The sequence below is a fragment of the Homo sapiens genome, chromosome 1 (assembly GCF_000001405.40).
Source record: "Homo sapiens chromosome 1, GRCh38.p14 Primary Assembly".
In the NCBI taxonomy this organism is placed as follows: Eukaryota; Metazoa; Chordata; class Mammalia; order Primates; family Hominidae; genus Homo; species Homo sapiens.
Genome location: NC_000001.11, coordinates 99,365,422 through 99,375,402, shown reverse-complemented (window position 1 = coordinate 99,375,402; position 9,981 = coordinate 99,365,422). Strand labels below are relative to the sequence as shown.

At 35.9% G+C, this 9,981-nt stretch overlaps 1 annotated feature.

The window, feature by feature from the left end:
• Positions 264-1,463: an enhancer, noted in NCBI's record as "BRD4-independent group 4 enhancer chr1:99839496-99840695 (GRCh37/hg19 assembly coordinates)". NCBI's record gives its function as "activates an origin of replication core promoter dependent on BRD2, P300/CBP, MED14 and CDK7 cofactors, and independent of BRD4, by STARR-seq in HCT116 cells {active_cell/tissue: HCT116}" and the evidence as "EXISTENCE:reporter gene assay evidence [ECO:0000049][PMID:35650434]".

Sequence of the window (9,981 nt, the reverse complement as noted above, 5' to 3'; positions counted from 1 at the left end):
CTGTACCTATGTTGCTACAGACTACAGAAAACATAGGCTATCTATAGGAAACCTATGTTGTGGACGGCTACAGACCACAGAATTCACTCTAGCCAGTTTAAGGAGAATGACATTTATTGACAAATACAAGGCTTACATAATTTTGTAGTACTCATCCTGGAAAACATGTCCAGGAACTATGAAGCCAAAAAAATTCCACTCTGTACACCTTGAACTATTCTAGCAGGAACACCACACCTACTTTGAACCTGCTTGGATCACTGATGTTCTGGAATGGACACCAAAAGCTCTACCACATCTATGTAATTAGTCAGAGTTCTCCAGAAAAATACTGTCTATCTATCTATCTATCTATCTATCTATCTATCTATCTATCTATCTATCTGCTATCCTAGCAGAAACACCACACCTACTTTGATCTGTTTGGATCACTGATGTTCTGGAATGGATACCAAAAGCTCTGCCATGTCTATTTAATTAGAGTGCTCCAGAAAAACACAATTATCTATCTATCATCTATCTATCTATCTATCTATCTATCTATCTATCTATCTATCTATTATCTATCTATCTATCTATCTATCTATCTATCTATCTATCTATCATCTATCTATCTATCTACCATCTATTTTAAGGAATTGGCTCATGTGATTGTTTAATTGTGGGAGCTGGCAAGACTGAAATCTGTGGGGCAAGTTAGCAGGTAGGTCTTTATATTGCAGTCTCGACGCAGACTTGTTTCTTCTTTGAGAAACCTCAGTCTTTGCCTGTGAGAAACACACACTCAACCGTCCAAACCCAAAGAATGGACTTGGAGACACGAAGAACAGTGGAAGTGAGACTTTTAATGGTGGTTTTCCAAGATTGTGTGTCTGGTAGGCCAGCATACCTGGGGCAGTTACAGCAGGTAATTTATCTTCTAGCACGCAAGTCCCTCCCCCAGTTCCTCATTGGTCAAACTATGGGGTTACAATCTTCCCGGAGGTCGCCTAAGTTTCATTATCCCCCTTACAAGTTTATAGCCCGGTCCCCTTCCCCGCTTAAGTTTCGATTTCGCAATAGTGAAACTTTCTTCCCTTTTATGGGCTGACCCCTCCTCTACATACTGTTTCCTTATTGTGACTTTTTAGGTGCACGAGCCATGCGGTTTGTCACATCTGCAGGCTGCCTGCCAGTACTTAGATTTATCATGCCTCAAAATTGACCATTTAAAGTGTTTTCTCATATTTCCTTCCAGGCTTTCAACTGATTGGATGAAGCTCACCCACATTATGGAGAGTAATCTGCTTTACTCAAAGTGTACTGATTGTAAATGTTAATCACATTTTTAAAAGATTCTTAAAATCACATTCTTAAAATGTGATTCTTAAAATCACATTCTGTACAGCACCATCTATACTAATGTTTGACCAAACAACTGGCCACCATAGCCTAACCAAGCTGACACATAAAATTAACCATTACACCTGCTAAAGAAGAACCAGTTCCTTTCTGCTTCATGTATTTTTTTTTCCTCTTGCTTATAATGAACTCAAGTCTTATATAGATACAGAGCATAGATCACTTACTTGCACCCCAATTGCAAGTGAGTCTAAGAAATAGAATCTTTAACTTTCCAGCCTTTAGAAAACTAGGAAGACGAACTAGAGGTGAGCTCGAATGGGCATTGAATTAGCCAACTAAATACTCCTTTAACTATTCAACATCTATTCAAACCTTATTCTCATACCTAAAATTTCAAGCAAGAACAATGAAAACTAGAACAACAAGAACAATAACGTCAACAACATAAAAGTAAAAACAATATAACATAATTCAATTACCCTTTGCTCAACTGAAAACTCACTTATTCTCTCCTCAAAAGGGAGGTCCACAGTCTCATCTATTTCTGCATTCTTTCCTGGATAATGTTCATAATGTTCATTTCTATTCTATTACAGATACATATCTTGGTATCATATCTTGGTATTTTGTAAGTTGTGGAAAAAATTGTAAAGTTACTAGCAAAGAATTCATCCTATATAAATGAGGAGAAGAAAGCTATACAGGAAAAATAGAAACATTCTCTCTCTCTCTCTCTCCCCCCCCCCCAACCCTGCTCTCTCTCTCTCTCTCTCAGAGTAGATATAAAGTAGCTTACCATATTTCTAATGTCTGCAACTTTCATGAGGCGTTAGTTAATATTTGTAACTAGTCATAAATTTGTAGTTATTATTTGTAACATCCTGCATCACTAGCCATTTGTCTTAGTTTGTTTTGCGCTGCTATAACAGAATACCTGAGACTGGGTAATTTATAAAAGACGGAGACTTATTTCTTGCAATTCTGGAGGCTGAGAAGTTTAAGGTTGGAGATTCCTCCTTTGGTGAGGGCTTTCTTGCTGTATCATCCTATGGAGGAAGGTGGAAAGGCAAAAGGGAGAGAGAGAGAGAGAAAGAGAGAGAGAGCGCGCGCGAGAGAGAGAGAGAAAGAGAGAGAGCGAGAGCGCAAGTGACCAAAGGGGACAGAACTCACTTTTAAAACAAGTTCACTCTTGAGATAACTAACACACTCCCATGATAATGGCATTAATCTATATTCATGAAGGCAGAGTCCTCATGCCCTAATCATCTCTTAAACGTCTCACTTCTCAACACTGTTGCATTGAGGTTAAGTTTCCAGCACAAAAATTTTGGAAAACACATTTAAACCATAGCACCTTTCTTAAGTTAGATTACTACTCATAAATTTGTGGCCTTTTTTTCTTTTCTAATATAAGCATTTTAATCTATAAAATCTTTCTAATACTACTTTTTTGGATCACATAAGTTTTTATATACAACATTTACATTATTGTTTATCTTGTAGTATTTTCAAATTTCTGTGAACATTTCTTCGCTGACTTGTAAGGTATTTAGAAGTGATCTTTGAAATTTTTTAAGTATGTGGGTTTTCATTTGTCTTTTTGGAATTGACTAATTAATTTCATTGTGTTCAGATAATATGGTTGATAATATATTAGGTTTTTGAAATGGTTTTGCAAACTTTTTATATGTACTTAAGAAAAATGTATATATTCTAATTCTTACTTGCATAGCTCCACATACATTTTTAAAGACTGTGTTTGGTAATTGTGCAATTTAAATATTCTTTCCTGACTTGTTCTTTGTTTATCCTATTGAAAATTGAGAGAAGCATGTTGAAAACTCTAACTATGGCTATGGATTTGCCAAATTTTCTTATAGTTCACCCAACTTTTGGTTTACATATTTGAAGTTACTTTCTTTTGAATTGTTATATCTTCCTGATAAACTTAAACTTTTATTATTATGTACTTATCTTAGTGATTTTCTGATGTTTTGCCTTCCCATCACCCTTTCTACATGCTTATGGTAACAGAATGTTTCTTTCTTGTGGGAAATACATTCCATGTGATTCAAGTGGGCAGCCTAAGCATTCATCCTGTCTCACAAGTCCTAGGGCTGGCTTCATTTTCTGCGTAGATTCTTAAAACATGTTTATGTACTCTTAAATATTCAGAACTGATTTAATGTGTTTATTGATATATGTTTATTTCTACTTTTTTTCTTTGTGTGTTCTGAAGTTTTTAGAATTCAGGCTATGTCATTTCTTTTTTTTTTCTTACTTATAACATAAATAATCTTAAGAGTTTCCTTCAGATTTGATATAAAATTAATATTTGTCCTACAATTTTCTGTGCCAATTTAGGGCTCATATCCATTTGCTTTGGCAGAAACCTTCAAGTTTCCTGCCATTTTCGCAATGTAGAATGCAATCCTGAACCTTAGCATCTACAGAGAAAATCAGGACCAAAAATAGATTTATCTTATTTCATCACCTCTCCCTAAAAAGGTTTCACTTGCCTACAATTCACCAAAGGCAAAATATTAACAAGGTGACATTTATGTATCTTATTCATGGAATTAATGGGGAGAAGGATGAAGCAGGGAGACATCTTATTTGGAGATCTTTTTATACCAGTATCCCACTCCTCACAACCCAATTTTCACTCACCAGAACTTAATTTCTGATAAGATTTTCTCAAACTCATTCTTTTCTTTCACTTTTTAAATTGTCTTTTATCTTGAACTTTCTCCCATTTAATAAAAGTCAATATGATATACCCCTGTAGATTTTGTGTCTTAATGGAAAATATGTAATAAAATTATTTTTTTATGTAGTTGAGTAAAAAAAAAAAATCTTGGGGGCTGCCTTGGTCATATGTCTGGGTTTGTCATATACCTTCTCATCTGCTTTGCTATAAATGGTTGCAAGTGTGGCCTAAATTTTTTTTTATTTTATTTTTGTAGGGTATGCTCTATTTAGTTCCTTTCTTTGTTATTTATAATTTTTTTCTTTGAGAGGAGGTAAGGTTAGGAGTTTTTGAGTCATATGGATCTTTCTGGCTGTCCTTTTCAAAGACTTTGGCCTGGGTTTGTACCCCTTTTTTCAAAGAGTTTGAGCTGACACATTAGCTTCCTCTTTGTAAGATTCGTTGTGGCTATCAGTTTCCTAAGACTTTGGGGAGATAGAAAAATTGCTATCCAACCCCACATTTCTTTTTACCCTGATATTGTTCATAGTTTTTAAACATAGGGTGATTTAGATATTTATCCCAATTAAATACTACTACCAATGTGGCATAACAGGAACTAGTCCTTTATCTAAAGTATGCAAGATATGTTTCCATTTGGTTGCACAGAGAAGGAGATGAGCCTGAAGTAATGATCTGTGGCTTTGTTTCCCAATAGCACTAGGATGCTATTGGGAACAAATTGCATAGCTGAGTAAAAGGGCAATTTATTAACACTCAACATTAATCTTTGCCTTAAGAGAAATACACATAGATTTATCGTGTCATTTTAATAAGCATGAGTAACTGAGAGAAAAAATAGTTACATGATGTTATACTGAATCAGGAAAAAATATAATCTGAGGATTTTAAACAATGTCTAGCAAGTGTGACTATAGATATTCAAGCACCCCAGGAAGAGTAAAGTTTTTATCAAGTTTTACATAATAAAAATCAGAGAAAGGAAGCATGCAGAAAGTTTTGAGAAGGCTCTAACTAGAAAAGCTAGAGTTGATTTTTTTCTAGGTGATAGATTCATCATACATAAATTGCAGTTCTGCTTGTGAGTCATAATTTATTTCTCATTCCTGCCCATACATATACTATACTTCTCTTATTCAAAGCTTTATAAGGTTCCATTCCATTTGATAAAGGAAATGAAAACAAGAAGGTAATTGTGAATTGCATGCCTGTATCAAAATATGTCATATACTCCATAAATATATACACTTATTATGTACTCACACAAAATAAAAATTAAAGGTAAGTTGAAGGGAAAAAGAAATATAAAATAAATAGGTATAAGAAATTCATTAAGGTCTCAGGTCTAAATACAATTCCTTTTTATTATTCTAAAAGTAAAGTCTTAAAAATATAATAAACATGGAAAAATTTAAATGGAAAATTATTTGCAGTAAAAAAATGCATGAAAATAATTGGGAGTATTGGAAGTTTGTCCTTTGATTTCCTATGTTCTGATTTCTACTGATTCTCTGACGTTTGCTTTCCCAGTTTCCCCTGTCCAATCCTCTCGTTCTTAGGAAAGGTAGGTGGGTGAGAGAACAAAAAAAAGTGAGAGGTTTCTTAATCTTTCATAGTGGCCAGTGAAGTATATCCATATATCTTATATCTGTCTCTAAGAACCCTACAAATTCATGTCTCATGAGGAACTCAGTGCCCCTTCAGATTCTTTCCCTCTCCTATACCAGACACAAACATATTCTAAATTCTCCATGCCATCTGGTATTCTGGCCACATCACATTGTATATTATATTTTTGTCTCTCCCATCCTCACTGATTTATTTAAATTATGGAATATAATACAGTAAACATTAAAGGCAGCCTAGAGATAATGAAGCAAGGAACACAATGTCATAAAATATCAATATGCTCAATACCCCTGTGGCTCCCACTCAACAGAAGCAGCTCAGACTTCCCAGAGCCTTTGTGCTGTAAGCCTTGTTCATTATCTTATGACTCACAGTTCCACCCCTCCCAAACTCAACCCTTCAAATCTTTGCATCGTGTGCTTTGCAACATATGGTCTGTCATTAGCAAAATCCCCTCTACCTTAGACTGTTTTCAGAATGTTCCGTTCAACTGTATGCTATAGCAGGACCTTCCAGTTCCCTGAGGATACTCTTTTCCTTGCAACCTTTTCACCCAGTGTTCTGTGTTCTTTCAGGTGATGATCGGTCAAGTGCAGCCGCAAGAGGGTCACAGGAGAGGCCCAGGAAAATGAGGTTTATTATACTCACAGATCCTTGGGAGACAGAGACATTGTACATCAAGAGGAGGTCACAGGAAAGAGTGCCAAGAAAGTGGGCTCAACCAAACAGGCAGGGAGCTGAGAGGCAGTGAGGACCTGTGGGCAAGTGTCTTGATTGGGGTTCAGGGTGGAGGATACAGCAAAAGTCTGGAGAGAATTTCATTGGTGCATTTGAATGTCAGTCGGTCACAGTCATGGGATGTCAAGAAGGGAAAATTGTGGCAGGGCCAGTCTTATCACATTGGCGTACCTGGATGTACAGCTTATTTGTGATGATGTCGAGGAAATAGGAAAACATAAAATTTTAAAATTATACGATAAATAAATGACTGTTTTCTCCTACACTGTCCCCTAACTAAAAACAAGATAGTTGTTGTTTCTTATCATGACTTCCAGGTCATTATTCCTTTTACCACCTAAAGAATTCCAACTTCCTTAAGCACATATCAATAAACAGCAAAAGCTTCACTTGGCCAAATGTCCCTCTCTGGATTCTGCCCCATATATTGTTTTCTTTCACTGAAAATCTCTTGGAAACATGTTTACATTCTTCTACTACCTTACTTCTTCCTCTGAGGAGTCCATCATAGTGACATGTTGGCTATGAAACCAGACTTTCAGAGCCAGCATTTCACTGAAGCTGCTCTTGTCAAAGTCAATTGTCCCTGATGACTTGATGTGGCCAAATGAGTAGTCAAGTCTAATTTCTTATCTTCTACTTTCTGCTGAATTTAACACAATTAAATATTCCCTCCTTCTTGAAAACTTTTCTTCACTTAGCTTACAGGACACTGAACTCTTGGACTTCTCTATCTCTCTGAATAGTCTTTTTCAATCTCTTTTCCAGCTCCTGTTCTCTTCCTGAATTCTAGGTGTTGGAGTCCCCATGGTTTGGAATTTTTCCTTTCTATATTCATTGCCTAGTTTATCACATCCATACACCCATCTTTGAGCACCATTTACCTGCCAACCACTTCCACCTTTTTCCAGCTGGTCCTTTCCTCTGAAGTCTTGACTCATATTTTTAACTGTCTACTCCATGCCACTCAACATCTCAAAAACAGAACTCTTGAGCCTTTCCAAAAGACTTTCCATCTCTGTAATTGTCATATCTACTCTTGTATTTTCCTAGGCCCCTCCTACATCTCTTCTGGTCCATCAGTAAGTCCTATTGGCTCTACCTTCAAACTGTATTGTGAATCCTATCACTTAGCACTACCTCCATGATTACTGTCATACCTCAAGCTATCATCATTTCTCTCCTGGACTATTGGAATTAGTTCCTTACTTTCTTCTCTGCTTTTGACTTTGTCACTCTGATGTCTTTTTTCCACATAGGAGCCAGAGTGATAGTTCTAAAATGTAAATCAAATGATGTCACTGTGAATCTTCAGTGCCTACGGGACATTCCGGCACATGGTTAGCATTCAGTGTTTGTTGAATGAATTAAACAGAAGTGTTCTTTAGAGAAAGGGGTTAAATATAATAGTTTGCCCCAGTTCTAGTTTCAAGGAATTTAAATTTTAACTCTACATATGTGTTAGTTCCTTCAGTAGCCCAGCCTCATTATCACCCATGAACTACTCTCCTAAATTTTGAGAAAGTTACGCATCCTCTATTGTTCTCTTTTACTAGCCAACAGCTTAGTACCCCCAAATGTGATACTGAGAGTAAACTTGTGGATTTCCCACAATACAGATATTGGGTATTGCTGTCTTCCTTGCTCTCTACCATCCAATAAGAGAAGTCATTGACAGGAACTAGTGCATTAATTTAAGAGGCTTATACCCTTATGATACTTAAAATTGTTTTTCAGGAAACAGCATATTTGAGCTGTAACTCAAAGTGTCAGCTATGTGGAGGTTATAATATAAATCTAACTTTAATAGGTAGGGTCAGAGAACATTGGTAGAGGGGATTGGTAAACTAGTGGAGAGAACTTGTATTGTCTCTCAAATCATACAAAGCAGGTAGCCTGCTAATGCATAGCATCAGTCCTAATCATGACATCCATTATTCAGAAATGTAGATATTTTAGATTAGCATTCAGATTGGGTACAGTAGTTTTTTATTTTTCTTAACTACACATATGACAAAATATGAAAATCCAGAAAGGCTATTTTATTTCTGTCTTTATTCTGGTATAACTAACATCTTATCATCAATCCACTGACTAGTTAATTAACAAGAGCTGAATTAAACTCCCAGGACATGAAGCATTTGATTTGCCTTGGGATCCTAATCTATTTAAATGCTGAGTCTCTAGGGAAAGACACTATCTTGCTACATTTTGCTCTTGGTAAACTCTTTGGAGTTAGAATAATGAAAGTCCAGAAAGAATAAGTGGATTTTGGCACAAGCAGCCCTTTGGCGAGATTGAACTGCATACATATGCTTGTCAATCTCAATTAATTAACTAAGAAAAAGAAAAATTTAAGAGAAAGCAATTTATGTATCCAAAAGTCAGCTTTTATATGTGACCTAAGACAAACCAAATTGGTAACAACACCAATACAAGTTACTTTTGACATTTTCCTGTGACCTTGTTGGAACAAATGGAAAAAAATAATAGAAAGCTGCTGCCTTTTCACTAAATCCATTTTAAGATCATGAACTACTTCAATACTTAAGAAAAAAGTGAAACACTTTTCACTGTGAAATAATGGGTGCCAAGATTTTATGGCTCCAGGGTCAGCATCCTGAAGAAATTCAGTCACAAAAAGAGCAGAAAATTTACAGTCTATAATTAGCCCTCTTTCCACTACTTTTGGCTTTACCCGATGGCAGGAGACCCATGGTTTGCAATTGCTTCCATTAAATAGCCTTAGGATATTTCGTTTGGGATGCTAACTTTAAATGTTGCTGAACTTGGCACCTGTCTGGTAATATTTAAAAGGTTTTCTTTGTTTCAATACCTTCTACCTTCCTTGAGTCACAATAAGAGGTAACACATTTGCGTATTAGGTGAAGGTGAATGGCAGTTCATGCCAGTTAGGAATTTATTTAGAGAATGTAAAGCCTTTCAAAATCTAACTTTTTTTTGCTTAAGGAGATTCATTTTCAATCTAGTGGCAGAAGTCATGAATACAATCAATTATTGAAAAGGGAAAATAACATGTTGCTGAAAAATGAATAGAGAAATAATAAAATACAGAGAGTGCTCTGACAAGGTAAAGGACTATTCCCAGGGCCCCGATTCAGCTCTGAAAGAGGTTTTTATCAGTGAGTATGAGATAAGACCAAAGGCTATTTGCCCACAGTCTGGGAGAGATGGAGAAAAAGAAGACTAGAGCAGGAGAAACAGGACAGGAGATAGTGGATTGGATTTAATAAGGCAACATGTAGATGAATGTTAAGATACATGCATGTTTGTGTAGAAAGTAAAGCACAGATCAAAGATATGGAAACAAAATTTATCATGTTGATACAAACAGAAACTTAATGTTGGATTTGTTCTTGACAAGTGCAAGATTGCAGGAAGACAGCTCAAAAACAGACTAAAATATATAATTGTATTAAAAGAAGTAAACACTGGCTCTTTTCTTTGAACTCACACTCTATGATCTCCTAAATTGCGTGCCTCTTATTGAAAAACACTCTGAGGATTGCATTTATATTTTGGCTTTGATTCTGCAATTA